Source organism: Homo sapiens, chromosome 11 (assembly GCF_000001405.40).
Source record: "Homo sapiens chromosome 11, GRCh38.p14 Primary Assembly".
Lineage (NCBI taxonomy): Eukaryota > Metazoa > Chordata > Mammalia > Primates > Hominidae > Homo > Homo sapiens.
The window spans coordinates 62,014,385-62,033,149 of record NC_000011.10 but is presented as its reverse complement, the minus strand read 5'-3'; the positions used below and the strand labels follow the sequence as shown (position 1 = coordinate 62,033,149).

Below are 18,765 nucleotides of genomic sequence, written 5' to 3'. Positions count from 1 at the left end.
GGAGTCTTACTCTGTCACCCAGGCTGGATGCAATGGCAACATCTCAGCTCACTGCAACCTCCAACTCCCGGGTTCAAGCAATTCTCCTGCCTCAGCCTCCTGAGTAGCTGGGATTACAGGCGCCCGCCACCAGGCCTGGCTAATTTTTTTGTATTTTTAGTAGAGACGGGGTTTCACCATGTTAGCTAGGCTGTTCTTGAACTCCCGACCTCATGATCAACCTGCCTCGGCTTCTCAAAGTGCTGGGATTACAGGAGTGAGCCACCACGCCCGGCCCAGTTTGGTAAATTTCTAAATGAAGACCCACAGGCCTGCCTAACTTTGGATAGGCCAAAGTTCTCAAAATTGGTGCTGATTTCAAACACTCTGTAGTATTACTGAAGCTGTCCTCAAAGGATTAACAAGAATCCTGGACAGAAATATGGTTATAATGAAGCACTAATCAGGCTGTACTTTCACTGACTTCCTTGGCAACCGTAAGTCACTAGATAATGATCACTGGCATCCCCATTGTTCCTGTTGATAGGATTTCTGATGTTAGAATCATATGGCTTTTTTGTTTGTTTGTTTGTTTGTTTGTTGAGACAGAGTTTTGCTCTTGTTGCCCAGGCTGGAGTGCAATGGCGCAGTCTCAGCTCACTGCAACCTCTGCCTCCTGGGTTGAAGCAATTCTTATGCCTCAGCCTCCCAAGTAGCTGGGATTACAGGTGCCCGCCACCACACTAGTTTTTTGTATTTTTAGTAGAGACAGTGTTTCACCATGTTGGCCAGGATGGTCTCGAACTCCTGACCTCAGGTGATCCAACCGCCTCGACCTCCCAAAGTGCTGGTATTACAGGCATGCCCGCTGACCAGTTTGAAGACTCCCACAGAAGAAAGGAATCAGCATGAGAATACAGTTTATCTTCCTGTCCCGTGACTTCACCCTGCACTCTTCGACAAACCAGCAATCTCCATACTTCAGCCCACTCCAAAGCTCTTAAAACACTAGCCCGAAATTTCTTGGGAAAATAAATTTGAGGTTTCCTCCTATCTCCTGGTTCGGTGCCTTACAATTAAACCTCTTTCTCTGCTGTAACCTGTTGTCTCTGCATACTGACTCGCCAGGCACAGTGGGCAACGGACCTATCAATATAGGAGTTAAGAAGAAATTACTTAGGCAGATAGCAAGGGCATGGGAGTCATCGGTAAGGCTTTTCTTTTTTCTTTTTCTTTTTTTTTTTTTTTGAGACAGAGTCTCGCTCTTTCGCCAGGCTGGAGTGCAGTGGCACAATGTCAGCTCACTGCAAACTCTGCCTCCCAGGTTCAAGCGATTCTCCTGCTTCAGCCTCCCAAGTAGCTGGGATGACAGGTGCGCACAACCACACCCAGCTAATTTTTGTATTTTTAGTAGAGACAGGGTTTCACCATTTTGGACAGGATGGTCTTGATCTCCTGACCTCATGATCCACCCACCTCAGCCTCCCAAAGTGCTGGGATTACAGGTGTGAGTCACCATGCCTGACCAAGGCTTTTCTTTTTAACGAAAAGCAGCCCCAAATCATATTCTAACAAAGAGCAGCCTGCAAGCTGGAAGCTTGCACAGATGAATGCTAGCAGGAATGAAACCACCTTTGCGAAATTATGACTGAGACAGTGAAAGAGATCCAACTTAAGTGATTCCATCTTGCTTCTAACCTCCAAGCTGTCTTTGTTCATTCCTGGGTGTAGGCTGAACTAACTTTGGGAGAAACCTATTTTGTAGTTTATAGTTTAAACAAAGATGGTAGCAGCCCTTTCCCAAAGCAGACTTCCTTCTTGCCTGGAAACTAGACTAACATTAGCCACGGGATTAGAAATTATGGTTTAGGAGTCACGCAGCTGGAGGCTACAAGATTCTGACCCTCTCTAAACTGCTCCTAAGATCAGTGCTTGAGATATTTTGCAGATCCTGCACTTGGGTTGGCTGGTGCCATCCCAGTGGATAAACTGGCTTGTCTGATCTTGTGGCCCCAACCCAGCAACTGACTCAGTGCAGGAAGACTGCTTTGGCTCCCTGTGATTTCATCCCTCACCAATCAGCAGTCCCGGCTCACTGGCTCCCCACAACCTTAAAAAGTCTGCTCCCCAGCCGGGCACGGTGGCTCATGCCTGTAATCCCAGCACTTTGGGAGGCTGAGGCGGGCGGATCACCTGAGGTCGGGAGTTCAAGACCAGCCTGACCAAAATGGAGAAACACCCCTCTCCACTAAAAATACAAAATTAGCTGGGCATGGTGGCACATGCCTGTAATCCTAGCTACTTGGGAGGCTGAGGCAGGAGAATCGCTTGAACCCGGGAGGCGGAGGTTGTGGTGAGCCGAGATCATGCCATTGCACTCCAGCCTGGGCAACAAGAGCAAAACCCCATCTCAAAAAAAAAAAAAAAAAAAAAGTCTGCTCCCCAAGGCCGCGTGCAGTGGTGAACTCCTGATCTCAAGTGATCTGCCCACCTCAGTCTCCCAGAGTGCTGGAATTATAGGCATGAACCACTACGCCCAACGGTTGGCTCTATTGTTGGTTTGCCTGTTGAGACAGGGTCTTGCTCTGTCATCCAGCATGGAGTGCAGTGCTGTGATCACTGCTCACTGCAGCCTCAGCCTCCTGGGGCTCAAGCTATCCTCCCACCTTGGCCTCCCAAGTAGCTGGGACTACAGGCACACGCCACCATGTCCTGCTAACTTTTTGTATTTTTTCTAGGGAAGGGGTTTTACTCTGTTGCCCAGGCTGGTCTCCAGCTCCAGAGCTCAAGTGATCCGCCTGCCTCAGCCTCTAAAAGTACTGCTGGGACTACATACATGAGCCATCGTGCCGGCCACTTGATTGGTTCTTCTGGTTACCAGTCCCATTCTCCAAGAGTCACCTCATTAGCATGAACTCAAGTATGGTGAAAAGGGGCTCATTACGAATAACAAAAGCTGCTCCTCTCCTCTTATCACTCAGGAAATTCTAAAGGTTTTAGAAGCTCTGTGCCAGGAACTGGGAGGAACACCAAATATATGTTTCTTGTTATATGACAATAGCACAGTTTGTCTCGGTGACCCCATTATATAATCATTATTAACCCCATTATATAACCATTATGTAACCCCACTATGTAACCGTCAAGATGATACAGCATCACTGTTACTTGGGGGCCCATTCAAACTACATGTCCCAGCTTGACTTTTTTTTTTTTTTATAACCAAGAAGTTTTTGTTTGTTTGTTTGTTTGTTTGTTTGTTTTGAGACGAAGTTTCACTCTTTTTGCCCAGGCTGGAGTGCAATGGCGCGATCTAGGCTCACCGCAACCTCTGCCTCCCGGGTTCAAGCGATTCTCCTGCCTCAGCCTCCCAAGTAGCTGGGACCACAGCATGTGCCACCAGGCCTGGCTAATTTTGTATTTTTAGTAGAGACAGAGTTTCGCCCTGTTGGTCAGTCTGGTCTCCAACTCCTGACCTCAGGTGATCCGCCCACCTCGGCCTCCCAAAGTGCTGGGATTACAGGAGTGAGTCACCACGCCCGGCCCCAAGAAGTCTTTTTTTCCTAAATCAAACCATGCATCTTGATTTTGGGGTTCGGATAATATGGTCACTATAGCTATGGGACAAGTCATGTAACATTTGAAGTCCTCAGTTTCCCTATTTGTAAAATGAACAAATTGGACACATGGTGGCCCTGGTCCCTTCCTGTGCTAATAGTCCTGGACTCTGAGCCCACCACACACTAGAAAGGGTGGAGTCCCGGCTCTATCTCTTGCTAGCTGGGTACCCAAACAAGCTAAATAACATTTTTGTGCCTCAGTTTTCTCATCTAAAAAATGATGGTGATTGCAGGGCATGGTGGCTCATGCCTGTACTCCCAGCACTTTGGGAGGCCGAGGTGGGCGGATCACCTGAGGTCGGGAGTTCGAGACCAGCCTGACCAACACAGAGAAACCCCATCTCTACTAAAAATACAAAATTATCTGGGCGTGGTGGCACATGCCTGTAATCCTAGCTACTTGGGAGGCTGAGGCAGGAGAATCACTTGAACCCGGGAGGCGGAGGTTGCGGTGAGCCGAGATCGCGCCATTGCACTCCAGCCTGGGCAACAAGAGCAAAACTCCATCTCAGAAAAAAAAAAAAAGTTAAATGGTACACTTTATCTTATGTACATTTTACCATGACTCAAAAAAAAGTTTTAGCTATGTGGGCTAGGTGTGGTGGCTCATGCCTGTATTCTCAGCCCTTTGGGAGGCCGTGGTGGGCGGATCACTTGAGGTCAGGAGTTCGAGACCAGCCTGGCCAACATGGTGAAACCCCATCTCTACTAAAAACACAAAAATTAGCTGGGCATGGTGGTGGGTGCCTGTAGTCCCAGCTACTCAGGAGGCTGAGGCAGGAGAATTGCTTGAACCCGGGAGGCGGAGGCTGTAGTGAGCTGAGATTGCGCCACTGCACTCCAGCCTGGCGACAGAGCAAGACTCTGTCTCAAAAAAAAAAAAAAAAAGTATTAGCTGTTGTGATCTCTTGTCTCAGATATTGTTATCAAGCTGCCAGATGTACACTATAAACCAAAAATAAAATTCTAAGGCCCCCGACCATCTGAATGGACTTCCTTCTCAGCCAGGGTGCTCTTAAAATGTAACCTGAGAGACTGGTTCAGGCCATGATGGGAAGTGGGGGTCCGACATGCCTCATATAAAATCAACACAGACCTGATAAGAAGCATTTATAATCTATTCTCTCTGAAACCTGCTACCTGAAGACTTCCTCTGCACAATAAGAACTTTGGTCTCCACAGCCTTTTTCTCCACAAAGGAAACCCAGACATTTCCTTTCTATTGATCCTAGGTTGTTTTTTGTTTGTTTGTTTGTTTTTTGTTTTTCTTGAGACGGAGTCTAGCTCTGTTGCCCAGGCTAGAGTACAGTGGGGCGATCTCGGCTCACTGCAACCTCTGCCTCCCAGGTTCAAGTGATTCTCCCGCCTCAGCCTCCCGACTAGCTGGGACTACAGGCATGCACCACTACGCCTGGCTAATTTTGTATTTTTCGTAGAGACAAGTTTCACCATGTTGGCCAGGATGGTCTGGAACTCCTGACAGGTGACCCACCCGCCTCAGCCTCCCAAAGTGCTGGGATTACAGGTGTGAGCCACCACGCCTCGCCTGGACCCCTTGCTTCCAAAAGTGTTCCTGCCTCTTTTAGATTCCAATCATGTCTGATCCTGTTCTGGTCTTCTTGGTTCAGAGGGGAGGAATTATTGGTTTGGGTATTGGTGTTGTTCGAGGTTAAGTCTTCTATCGTGCATGCCCAGGCTCCATGACTTACAGTTTTGGGCTCTATTATACCTAAAAAGTAACTCAACATTTTGCTATCAACAGAGTAGACCCAGTTTGGGCTGCTCCTGTCATTACAATATCTGAAGGGTTTCTCTAGAGAGCAGAACCCAAACAATGCGACAATTGCTACTTACCCTGTAACTGGCATTTGCAGCTCCAACTGGGCTACCCCTTGCACCTTCTCGGTTACCTGAGAAGCAAGTTATATTTTCTCCTTTAAATCCAATCCTATCTTTGTCATACGGAACAGTCAGCCTTGATGGTGTTTTGGAGTCAAGGAAAGCTGGAGAACGAGGAATGACAGCTCCAAGGAGAGGGACCCTCCCGGTTCTGCTGGAATTCCAGCTGCAGCTCCCAGCCCCTGCCATCCTAACCCTGGAGCTACTGCACTGGACAACAGTTTCCCCAGAAGCTGGACACCTCATGGGGAACTACAGAAGTGGGTTCTCTTGGGGTCCTCTCAGATTAGCACCAGGTGAATGGCAAATCCGGGAGGAGCAATGCCAAGGCCCCATACTGTTGAGTCTGAAGGCCCTTGGGCCCCAATTGTGCCCTCAGCAAAGCCATATTGAGGCAGAAGAACAGGGAGGGTAAACCAAGAGTTAAGATAGAAGCAAAAGAACAGCAGGTGCAGCCAGTTCTAGGCAAGATTAGGCAGCACACAGGCCACACCTCACCCCTGTGATGGCAAGACAGAAGTTTTTACTTCAGCCTCTGATTGACTGCAGGCTGAGGCTCCACTTCAGCCTCTGACTGGTCACAGGCCAATCCTTCATAGGGTGTAACAAATTGGAGGCCTCTAAAGGGCACCTAGCGGTGTTTCCAAATTCCTTTAGCCTAATAAAAATCCTTAAATGAGAGAGGTGGGGTGGCTCTTGAGCCACTTGCTCAAGCCTGCTCCTACTCTGTGGAATGTACTTTTGCTTCGATAAATCTGTGCTTTCATTACTCCGTTCTCGTGTTGCTTTGTTTGTCTTTCGTTGTTTCATTCTTTTGTTGCTTTGTGCATTTTGTTCAATTCTTTGCTCAACATGCCAAGAACCTGGACAACTCACAGTCAAGACCTTCCATCCAGTAACAGTTTTGCTTTGGGAACCACAGGAGATGAGGGCCAATAGGCCTGTGCCTTGGCAGATGATTCTTACTTATAACTTGGCCCAGTAAAATGGCCAGAACAAGGGCTCTGTCACTGGCCTTCACTGAAGGAATAAGGTTTTGTTTAATAAATCTACTGAATGCATCCTATCAGCAAGACACAAAAGCAAGGCTACTCAATCTTGGCCTGGTCAGGACCACCTTGGGGAGCTTAAAAAATACTGTTGCCTGAGCCCAACCCTCAGAGGTTCTTTTTATTATTATTATTATTTTTGAGATGGAGTCTAGCTCTGTCTTCCAGGCTAGAAGGCAGTGGTGCTATCTCGGCTCACTGCAAATTCTGCCTCCCGGGTTCAAGAGATTCTCCTGACTCAGCCTCCTGAGTAGTTGGGATTACAGGTATGCACCACCACATCTGATTAATTTTTATATTTTTAGTAGAGATGAGTTTTTGCCATGTTGCCCAGGCTGGTCTTGAACTCCTGACCTCAAATGATCCACCTGCCTCGGCCTCCCAAAGTGCTGGGATTACAGGCGTGAGACATCGCGTCTAGCATTTTTTTGTGTGTGTGTGCCCAGAGGTTCTAATTTAATCAGTCTGAGTGCAGCCAAGTACTGGGATTTTTTAAAAGCTCTCCAGGTGAGTCTAACATGCTAGCCACTGCTGGCTCTAAAGACTCAAATAAGAAGACTAAGTCCTCCGTGAGCAAGGTGGGGGCTGTCACAGAGGGAGATCTTTAAAAAGAGGTAAGGAAGTCCCAGGCACCGTAGAAGTGATGATCTCACTGGGGAAGGTCATGGACATTCTGCTGCTTCCTGTAGGCAAGAGCCATCGTCATTGCTTGATCTGTGCACACACAATGAGGTGGAGACCCTGCCTTACGGACCGAAAACGTGGTTTTGTGTTACATAAAATAGTTCCGCAAACGGCCGCTTTTCTGCCAGGCATGGTGTCTGTGCTTCTTGCTTTGGCTTATCTTGTAACTATTGACAGGGGTGTGGTCAAAACAAACCTCCCACATCCCGTACGTGTCTGCTGACTGCAGCTTTCCTGATGTAATAACAAAGCTGTCAGATGCGTTTCTTCACACCATGAAGTCTGCAGTCCCTACTGTTTTGAAATCCATGTGCATTAAGACACTGACTCACTTCCCTTTAGCCTACTGAGTTCTGTTGCTTTCTGGACCAACAAACCCTGTGGGCACCTCCCCGTCCAGAGCTCACTGAAACTGTCAGACTTACCTGCAAGGGCCTGGGATTCTAAATTTCACTCTGTCACTCTTGGAGGTGAGGGGAAAGCTGTATGGGCATTGAGGTGACATTTCTGGGCTTTGATGTCTCCATAGGAAAGGACATATAAATACAAAATGTGGTTAACCCTAATTAACCCCTAATTCAGACCGTTGGGGACAGAACCAAGGTCTATTAATTTTTTCTAAAAAAGGAAGGAAATTAGAAAAGAATGTTTCTCTCGATTGTGTAGAAGAGTTGGACGAGGTGAACATTCCGCTGGGTGGCTCTGTCACAAACTAGCTTTTGTTCAATCATTCAAGACATATCGACTGCCAAACACTGCTCTAGGCTCCTGAAAAAATGATCATGGCAAGACAGTTACAGACCATGCCTCTTCATGGAACTTACCAAGATGTGTGCTTGGGGAAACACACTGACTGTCTTTGGACTACTTGTTTCTTAATTAATTAGTAATAGCTGACACTTAGGGAGCACTTACCACATACCAGTTTCTGTGCGAAACCCTCACTTTGCACTCCTTTTAAAAATAGCTATTTTCTGGCCAGACATGGTGGCTCACGCCTGTAATCCCAGCACTTTATGAGGCTGAGGTGGGTGGATCACCTGAGGTCAGGAGTTCGAGACCAGCCTGGCCAACATGGTGATACCCCGTCTCTATTAAAAATACAACATGCCATGTTCCATGGCAACATGGAAAAATACAAAAATTATGGCCAGGCGCGGTGGCTCACGCCTGTAATCCCAGCACTTTGGGAGGCCGAGGTGGGTGGATCACCTGAGGTCGGGAGTTCGAGACCAGCCTGGCCAACATGGCAAAACCCTGTCTCTACTAAAAATACAAAAATTATGGCCGGGCTTGGTGGCTCACACCTGTAATCCCAGCACTTTGGGAGGCCGAGGCAGGTGGATCACCTGAGGTCAGGAGTTCAAGACCGGCCTGGACAACGTGGTGATATCCCGTCTCTATTAAAATTACAAAAAATTAGCTGGATGTGATGATGGGCACCTATAATCCCAGCTACTGGGGAGGCTGAGGCAGGAGAATCGCTTGAACCTGAAAGGCAGTTGTTGTGTGAGCCGAGAGTGCGCCATTGCACTCCAGCCTGGGTGACAAGAGTGAAACTCCATCTCAAAAAAAATAAAAATAAAAATAAAAATAATAAAAATACAAAAATTAGCCAGGTGTGGTGACACATGCCCATAATCCCAGCTACTCAGGAGGCTGAGACAAGAGAATCACTTGAACCCAGGAGGCAGAGGTTGCAGTGAACCGAGATCACACCACTGCACTCCAGCCTTCGCGACAGAGTGAGACCCTGTCTAAAAAAAAAGCTATTTAAGCTATTTTCTTTTATCACAATTCCTATTCCCTTCTCCCCTACAAACAACCATCCTAATGCTTTTAATGTTCATCTTTGCCTGTTTTCTTGGAATTTCAGGTTATTTTCTTTTTTATACGATTCTAAAAGCCATTTTTATTTGATTTTTTAATATATCATATACATTTTCACAGCAAGAATTAGAGGTTGAGTCAGACGTGATTGGAAGATCTCATTCCAGTCTTTTGCACTTACTAAGATCACTTTTTTTTTCTCAACTTTTAAGTTCCAGGGTACATGTGCAGTGCCATGGTGGTTTGCTGCACAGATCAACCCATTCCCTAGGTATTAAGCCCGGCATCTATTAGCTATTCTTCCTGATGTTCTCCTTCCCCCTCTAACCTTCCTACAGACCCCAGTGTGTGTTGTTCCCCTCTTGTGTCCATGTGTTCTCATCACTCAGCTCCCACTTATAAGTGAGAACAATCAGCGTTTGGTTTTCTGTTCCTGTATTAGTTTGCTGAGGATAATGGCTTCCAGCTCCATTCACGTCCCTGCAAAGGACATGACCTCATTCCTTTCTATGGCTGCATAGTATTCCACGGTGTATATATACCACATTTTCTTTATCAGTCTATCATGGATGAGCATTTAGGTTGATTCCATGTCTTTGCTATAGTGAATAGTGCTGCAATGAACATATGTGAGGATGTACATTTAAAACAGAATGATTTCTATACCTTTGGGTATATACTCAGTAATGGGATTGCTGGATCAAATGGTATTTCTGCTTCTAGATCTCTGAGGAATCACCACACTGTCTTCCACAATGGTTGAACTAATTTACATTCCCACCAACAGTGTAAAAGTGTTCCTTTTTCTCTGCATCTTTGCCAGCATCTGTTGTTCAGGTTTGTATACATGTATTCGAATATATATTTATGTCAGGTATGTTTATGCAAATTAGAATATATAGACGTTCTTCTTCTGCACTAGGTTGGTAAGGTCCACCCGTGTTGCTGTGTGTGCATCTACAACCCCTTCTCACAGCTGTGTGGTGCTCCATCCAGTGCAGCCACCGCCTTTCACCTGTCCATTTCCCCCAGTGAAGAACTCGCTGGATTGCCTTTAGTTCCCTGCTGTGGAACAGGAAAATCAAAGTGTCTTCTCCTGGTATACTCTCAACACTCATCACACTTCCCCTCACCAAAATCAGTGGGCTTTTCCCACCCCAACCAATTTCCGACACCAGCTGCGTAACCTATCATTCAGTTCAATTCTGACACTAGTTACGTGGAGTTAGCATCAGATTCCACAGGTTAGCTCAGTCTCACGAGACTGCCCCCACTTCAAAGTCCAGTTGCAACTGTGGACCATTCCTACTTCTGACCAACCGCCTATAAATCCAGGCTTCCCACAACCCCCTCCTTGGGTTCGACCATTTGCTAGAATGGCTCACAGAACTCAGGGAAACACTCCTGGTTTATTATAAAGTATATTGCAAAGGATACAGATGAACAGCCAGATGAAGAAGTACGCAGGATGACATATAGGGGGAGGGACATGGAACTTCATGCCCTTTTTGGGAACATCACCCTCCAGCACCTCCACACGTTCAGAAACTCTGAGGCTCTCCAAACCCAGCCCTTTTGGATTTTTACAGAGGCCTCATTGCTTAGGCATGATTAAATCACGGGCCATTGGTGATTAGCTCAACTCTCAGCTCCTCTCCCCACCCCAGAGTTTGGGGGGGTCGGGGACAGTGCAGCTGAAAGTCCCAAGCTTCTAACCATGGCTTGGTCTTTCTGGTGACCAGGAAGCCCAGCAAGAGTCACTTCATTAGAACAATAGAAACTTCTATCACCCAGGAAATTTTAAGGGTTTGGGATGTTCTGTTCCAGGAACTGGGGGCAGAGACCAAATTTTTATTATGTCACAATATCACACCTGCCTTCACAAGCTAGTCTCTGTGATGAAGAGCATCTTTATCATGTGTCTTTAGGCCCCTATGCGACGTGTGTGTGTGTGTGTGTGTGTATGTATATACATACATAGATATATATATATGTTCCCAGAAGTGGATTCTTGGTTGTGTGGTAGACATATAGACAGTCTGGCAAGTAGGGCAGCTCACTCTGCAGAATGTCCACACCACCTACCTATGACCATCAATACAGTAGGGCACTTATACCCACCACACCTACCCTACTTGGCATTCTCTAGCTTTATCATTTTTGCCAAATAGGTGGAAAACAATATCTCATTGTTGGTTTAATTTGCAATTACTTTATGACCAGGGAACATCTTTCACATATTTATGTTGCCCTTTAGGTTTCTTTTTTTTTTTTTTTGAGACGGAGTCTTGCTGTGTCACCCAGACTGGAGTGCAGTGGCGCGATCTCAGCTCACTGCAAGCTCCACCTCCTGGGTTCATGCCTATTCTCCTGCCTCAGCCTCCTGAGTAGCTGGGACTACAGGTGCCCACCACAATGCCTGGCTAATTTTTTTGTATTTTTAGTAGAGACAGGGTTTCACCATTTTGGCCAGGATGGTCTTGATCTCCTGACCTCATGATCTGCCCGCCTCAGCCTCCCGAAGTGCTGGGATTACACCTTTAGGTTTCTTAATCTGCAAATTGCCTATTCATACTCATTGCCCATTTTCCCACTGGGTTCTCTTTTTCTTGTATATTCTAGATATTAGTCCCCTTTTGGCTGCAGATATTGCAATAGCTTCTCCCAGTCTCTCATCTGTTTGTTACTTTTGACCATGGTGTGCTTTGTTTTACAGAAATCCTTTAGTTAGGGGGGATCAAATTAATCCATTTTATGTCTCATGATTGAACTTGTGATGTTTTTTGAGGAGTCCTTCCTTACCTCTAATCCATAAGGGAATTATCTTACAGAGTCTCGTTAATATCATCACTTATATTTCCCAGGTTGGGCTTCAGTTTATTGGAATCCTGCCTGTAAGTTGTGTTTATCAGGGATCCAGTTTTGTTTGTCTTTGCTTGATTTACCCACTGAGCCTTCATAACAGCTCTCCACAGCACAGGCAGAAACTGACAGCAAAGACAGTCAAAATGTTAGCAAGTGGCAGACCTCAAATCTGATTTTGTTTCTTCAAATGTGAATAGCTGGGCCATATTATAGGTCTTCAGGAAGAGAGGGCAGCTGTAAAGCCCAGGGCACACATATAGATTCACCAGAGCAGGCATTATTAATTACTTAGTCAATGGATGAGGCTCTTGAGTCTGTCTCTTGGACTCAGTTCAATGAGAAATGTCCGAGAACCACAGGAATGACCACGCCCAAAGCCCCGGCTTCAGTGGGAAGTCCCTTCCCATCTCTGACCACTCCACTATGCAGCCTCCTCAAAATAACTTCTTCTTCCTCAACTTAGGGCCTCCCTCTACTTCTTGTCCTAATCTCCTGTGCTTAGGAATTCTTTTTTTTTTTTTTTTTTGAGATGGTGTTTTGCTCTTGTTGCCCAAGCTGGAGTGCAATGGCATGATCTCAGATCAGTGCAACCTCTGCCTCCTGGGTTCAAGTGATTCCCCTGCCTCAGCCTCCCGAGTAGCTGGGATTACAGGCACCTACCACCATGCCTAGCTAATTATTGTACTTTTTGTAGAGACAGGGTTTCACCATGTTGACCAGGCTGGTCTTGAACTCCCAGCCTCAGGTAATCCTCCCACCTCAGCCTCCCAAAGTGCTGGGATTACAGGTGTGAGCCACCGCACCCAGCCATGCTTATGAATTCTAATAAGTCACAATTACTAACATGGAGAGAGCACTTTCTATGTGCCAGGCACTATTCTAAGCACTTAGCATGTATTTCACTCATTTAATATCCACAACTCTATGAGGTGGGTAATATTATTGTACTCATTTCGTGGAGTATAATATAGAGGCTAAGGTTCTCACCATTAGTAAGTAACAGAGTAGGGATATAAACCCAGGCTGCCCAAGCACAGAGACTGCACTTTAACCAGGGTGTCCTACTGTCCCTTGTCACTCTGGCCCAGATAAAATATGGCTTTCAGAAACTGTGAAATACAGGTGCAGTGGCTCACGTCTGTAATCCCAGCACTTTGGGAGACTAAGGCAAGTGGATGACTTGAGGTCAGGAGTTCAAGACCAGCCTGGCCAACATGGCAAAACTCTGTCTCTACTAAAAATACAAAAATTAGCCAGGCGTGGTGGCATGTGCCTGTAATCCCAGCTACTTGGGAGGCTGAGGCAGGAGTCTCACTTGAATCCAGGAGGCGGAGGTTGCAGTGAGCCAAGATTGCACCACTGTACTCCAGCCTGGGTGACAGGGTGAGACTCTGTCTCAGAAAGAAAAAAAAAACAGTGAAATACAGACAACTAAAGTAGGCTCTGACCATTTTATTTTTAACCAGGACACTCCAAAGTCCAGAATTGCCTTGGCGAACACCTGCAGTGGTCTCAGTGGCCTGGCGACTGCACATCCCTGCTGGAGTCAAAGTCCCTGAACATGTCACTTGTTTAAGAAAGCCCACTAATTCATTAAGTCAAAAGTCTTCATTAAGTGACTATTTGGATAGCCATAGAGCCCTATTTCTTGGCCCAGCCAGATGGCAGGGTGCTTGTCACTGTGTTTGGCAGGAGTTCTCAGTCCCCTTTGGGTAACCCAGTCCTGGGGGCTGAAAGCATGACTGCTTCCCAGGAGACTGTGCTGGCTTTGGGGCCTTTGTTCTTGGCCACAGGCCCCATTATTCTCAGATGCTTTTCTTTCTGCTTGATCATCTTCTTTTGACCTCATCTTGGTTACTGTTCATTACCCTCATGTTTCCCCTCACACTTCCCTTTTGTCTCTAGCTTTCATCTCTTCTCCTCTCTTACCTCTTTCTCAGGTTTGAATAACATTGTGTCAATCTGCCCTTTCTTCCCCCTTCTCTTTTCTCTGACCTTGAATCCCAAGGCCATATTGGAACTGGAGCTAGGTCTATGCAATATCACTTCTCCTTCCTTTCTAGTCCCATGTCCCTCCCCCTCCAGGAAGCTCCTGCTTACCAACACTCCTGACATGGCTAGTACTTTTTTTTTTTTTTTTTTTTGAGACAGAATCTCACTACAGTGGCAAGATCTCAGCTCACTGCAACCTCCGCCTCCCAAGTTCAAGCGATTCTCCTGCCTCAGGTTCCTGAGTAGTTGGGATTACAAGCAGGCGCCACCATGCCTGGCTAATTTTTGTGTTTTTAGTAGAGATGGGGTTTCATCATGTTGGCCAGGCTGGTCTCGAACTCCTGACCTCAGGTGATCCACCTGCCTCGGCCTCCCAAAGTGCTGGGATTACAGGTGTGAGCCACCGCGCCCGGCCGCTAGTACATTTTTTATTCGTGTTTCTGTCTCTCTAGGAAGACTCTTTGCTCCTTAAAGACAAAGGACTACATTTTCAGGGTTTAGAATCGACGTGGGCAGATGGGAAATAAGTTTGGGGCTGTAAGTGAATGAATCAGTTAGACATGCCTTCTCAGATTCCTCCTGCTACAATCACTTGCTGCCTGTCCTGTGGCTGGCTGGGTGCATGCTGTAGTTTCTCCTAATAAACTGTAAGCTTCTAAGAAGAGTAGGGCATGGCATTGCCAAAAGGACATAGTCTGTCCCCTCCAGAACCCAGCACTATTGCAGAGCAAGTGCCCAGCCAACAGCTGCTGAATTGGCTTGGAGGTCAGAAGCCACTGTGACCTCTAGGCAGCAGAACAAGGAACTTGAGGGGATAGGGTGAGGGATTAGAACCCTTGGGTGTCTAGCCGGGCGTGGTGGCTCATGCATGTAATCCTAGCTACTTGGGAGGCTAAGGCAGGAGAATTGCTTGAACCTGGGAGGTGGAGGTTGTGGTTAGCCGAGATCGCACTGAGCCGAGATCGCACTGAGCCGAGATCGCCATTGCACTCCAGCCTGGGCAACAAGAGCAACAAGAGCGAAACTCCGTCTCAAAAAAAAACAAAAAAACAAAAAAAACCTCGGGTGTCAACCTTCTGGAAAATCAGCCTTTTAATTGGCAAGTCCCAGAAGAGGAAGCCTAGGCAGTTAGACCCCAGGCCACGGTGATAGGGTGCTGATACCATGCAGGGCAGGGCTCTTGGTGCCTCGAGGCTTTTGCATCTTTACTTCCTGCTGAAGTTAGAGAGAGCTGACTGGACTTAGTACAAGCATAGGAGTGGGGATCCAGGACTCAGGAAGGCCAGCTCTGCCATCCTGGGTCAAAGAGATGTCCTCCCTGGACGTCTGGCTCCCGCTTTAAGAAATCATATCAGCCAGTCATGATATGGCTCACGCCTATAATCCCAGCTATAATCCCAGCACTTTGGGAGGCCGAGGTGGGAGGATCACTTGAGCCCGGGAATTCGAGACCAGGCACTGCAACAAAGTGAGACCCCATTTCTTCAAAAAATAAAATAATTAGCTGAGTGTCATAATGCATGCCTGTAGTCCCAACCGCTTAGGAGGCTGAGGTGGGAGGATCACTTGAGCCCAGGAGATTGAGGCTGCAGTGAACAACAATGATGGCACCACTGCATTCCAGCCTGGGTGACAGAGTGAGAGCCTGTCTCAAAAAAAGAAAAAAAAGCAAAGGAATAATGGCGGCAGTCCACCATCTTGTCTTGCTGCTGTCCGAGACTCAGACATGGCTTCTAAGTTCCTATTAAACGTTTCTTTCTAAGAAACTAGATTGGTCAGCCTCTTTCTTTGGCCTTTCAGCTTCCTTAGACTCTGGGGATAGGTTTGCAAAGGCCTGCCCCCCACAGAGCATGTGGCAAGCCAGCTGGGCCAGGAGCTGAGAGATCAAGAAATGGGTGAAGGGAATGAATCATCCGTCTGGGAAATTGTAGGGTCCAGCCCCACAGGGTCGGTGGGCTTCTCCCTGTGTGTGGCGACGAGAGAGTATAGAAATAAAGACACAAGACAAAAAGATAAAAGAAAAGACAGCTGGGCCCCGGGGACCACTACCACCAATTCACGGAGACCGGTAGTAGCCCTGAATGTCTGGCTGTGCTGTTATTTATTGGATACAAAGCAAAAGGGGCAGGGTAAAGAGTGTGAGTCATCTCCAATGATAGGTAAGGTCACGTGGGTCACGTGTCCACTGGACAGGGGGCCCTTCCCTGCCTGGCAGCTGAGGCAGAGAGAGAGAGAGGAGACAAAGAGAAAGACAGCTTATGCCATTATTTCTGCATATTAGAGACTTTTAGTACTTTCACTAATTTTCTACTGTTATCTAGAAGGCAGAGCCAGGTGTACAGGATGGAACATGAAGGCAGACTAGGAGCGTGACCACTGAAGCACAGCATCACAGGGAGACGGTTAGGCCTCCAGATAACTGCAGGCAGTCCTGACTGATGTCAGGCCCTCCACAAGAGGTGGAGGAGCAGAGTCTTCTCTAAACTCCCCCAGGGAAAAGGAGACTCCCTTTCCCAGTCTGCTAAGTAGCGGGTGTTGTTCCTTGACACTTTTCGCTACCGCTAGACCACGGTCCGCCTGGCAACGGGTGTCTTCCCAGACGCTGGCATCACCGCTAGACCAAGGAGCCCTTCTGGTGGCCCTGTCTGGACATAACAGAAGGCTCACACTCTTGTCTTCTGTTCACACCTCACTATGTCCCCTCAGCTCCTATCTCTGTATGGCCTGGTTTTTCCTAGGTTATGATTATAGAGCGAGGATTATTATAATATTGGAATAAAGAGTAATTGCTACAAATTAATGATTAATGATAATCATATATAATCATATCTAAGATCTATATCTGGTATAACTATTCTTGTTTTATATTTTATTATACTGGAACAGCTCGTGTCCTCGGTCTCTTGCCTCAGCGCCTGGGTGGCTTGCCACCCACAGGAAATCTCAGGGTGGTCAATCACTTTCTTTCTTTTTCTTTTTTTTTTTAAGACAGGGTTTCACTCTGTTGCCCGGACTGGAATGCAATGGCGCCATCATAGCTCACTGCAGCCTTGCTCTCCTGGGCTCAACTGATCCACCACTTGTACCACAGGTGCTAATTTTTTTAATTTTTTGTAGAGACGGGAATCTCACTATGTTCCCCAGGCTGGTCTTGAGCTCCCAGGCTCAAGGGATCATCCCACCTTGGCCTCTCAACGTGCTGGAATTTCAGACATGAGCCACTGTGCCCGGCTGGTCCGTTGCTTTTATGTGGAGTGGTGTGGTTCACCTTTTATATGCTTGTAGACCACCATGTGACTACGGAGATGCCCTGAAAATGCCAGTGGCTTAGAGTCATTGTTAACTGAGAGCCGTCCATTGCACAGTGATAAGAAAGGGCAGCCAGCAGTCATTTTGAGACTAGTGACCTGAGTTCAGGCAGACCCACATCTGAGCATGGTCCAGCCTCAGGGTCCAGCACTTCCTTTCACTTTCGTTTTAACTATCACAGATGGCAACAACCAAGGGATTATATGTTTATTGTGGTTATTAGGGTTTTTGTTTGTTTGTTTCCAGATGGAGTTTCACTCTTGTAGCCCAGGCTGGAGTGCAATGGCGCCATCTCGGCTCACTGCAACTTCCGCCTCCTGGGTTCAAGCGATTCTCCTGCCTCAGCCACCCCAGTAGCTGGCATTACAGGCACACGCCACCACGCCTGGCTAATTTTGTATTTTTAGTAGAGACGGGGTTTCTCCATGTTGGTCAGACTGGTTTTCAACTCCCGACCTCAGGTGATCCACCCTCCTCAGCCTCCCAAAGTGCTGGGATTATAGGTGTGAGCCACCACGCCCAGCCGTGCTTGTTAGATTTATAAACCAAAAATAAAATCTTAAGCCCCCAACCAACTGAATAGACCCTCTTGGCCAAGGTGACCCCAGAAAAACCTGAAAACCTGAATTCCTGACCAGGACAGGAAGGAAGGCCAGACATGCCTCATAGACCCTCTCCCTGTGGAGTTCAGTGAAAAATTATGCCAGGGCAACAGATATATCTCTGAGACCTGTGGTTACCAAGAAGGTAGCCAATGTCAGGGAAGGCAAAACCAACTAACTACTAACACCAGAGAGCACAGTGTGAAGCACTGTTCCATTATGTAGATCATCAAATCTACAAACCCGCACTCTGTAGATTTGTGTCATCAGCTCCCTGAGGAACCTTCACTAAAATGGATTGTGAGAGTATCTATTGGAAGCAATATCTTTGGTTTTAAATGCTGTACAGTGGAAAAAACATGTTTGTGTTACTGGAAAGGGGTCCCAATCCAGACCCCTAGAAAGGGTTCTTGGACCGTGCCAGTCCATAGAGTATATTGAAAACAAGTTTATTAAGAAAGTAAAGGATTAAAGAATGGCTACTCTATAGACAGAGAAGCAGCTTGGGCTGCTCGACTGATAATACTTATAGTTAATTATTTTTACTCTGTCACCCAGGCTGGAGTGCAATGGCTTGATCTCAGCTCACTGTAACCTCCGCTTCCCGGGTTCAAGCGATTCTCCTGCCTCAGCCTCCCGAGTAGCTGGGACTACAGACGTGTGCCACCACGCCCGGCTCATTTTTGTATTTTTAGTAGAGATGGGGTTTTACCGTGTTAGCCAGGATGGTATCGATCTCCTGACCTCGTGATCTGCTTGCCTCGGCCTCCCAAAGTGCTGGGATTACGGGCCTGAGCCACCACACCCGGCCTATTACTTCTTTTCCGGGAGTTTTCCGGGAAAGAGGTGGACAATTTCCAGCACTGAGGGTTCTTCCCCTTTTAAGACAGTATAGGGTATACTTTAAGACAGTGTAGGTATAGTATAACTTCCTGA

General features: G+C 47.0%; 3 annotated features.

Moving 5' to 3' along the window:
* Nucleotides 1,672-2,215: an enhancer, noted in NCBI's record as "H3K4me1 hESC enhancer chr11:61798407-61798950 (GRCh37/hg19 assembly coordinates)". NCBI's record gives its function as "activates a minimal SCP1, AML or CMV promoter by ChIP-STARR-seq in primed H9 embryonic stem cells {active_cell/tissue: H9 hESC(primed)}" and the evidence as "EXISTENCE:reporter gene assay evidence [ECO:0000049][PMID:30033119]".
* Nucleotides 2,216-2,759: an enhancer, noted in NCBI's record as "OCT4-NANOG-H3K4me1 hESC enhancer chr11:61797863-61798406 (GRCh37/hg19 assembly coordinates)". NCBI's record gives its function as "activates a minimal SCP1, AML or CMV promoter by ChIP-STARR-seq in naive H9 embryonic stem cells {active_cell/tissue: H9 hESC(naive)}" and the evidence as "EXISTENCE:reporter gene assay evidence [ECO:0000049][PMID:30033119]".
* Nucleotides 7,463-7,562: an enhancer, noted in NCBI's record as "active region_4810". NCBI's record gives its function as "activates an Ori minimal core promoter by ATAC-STARR-seq in GM12878 lymphoblastoid cells {active_cell/tissue: GM12878}" and the evidence as "EXISTENCE:reporter gene assay evidence [ECO:0000049][PMID:35858748]".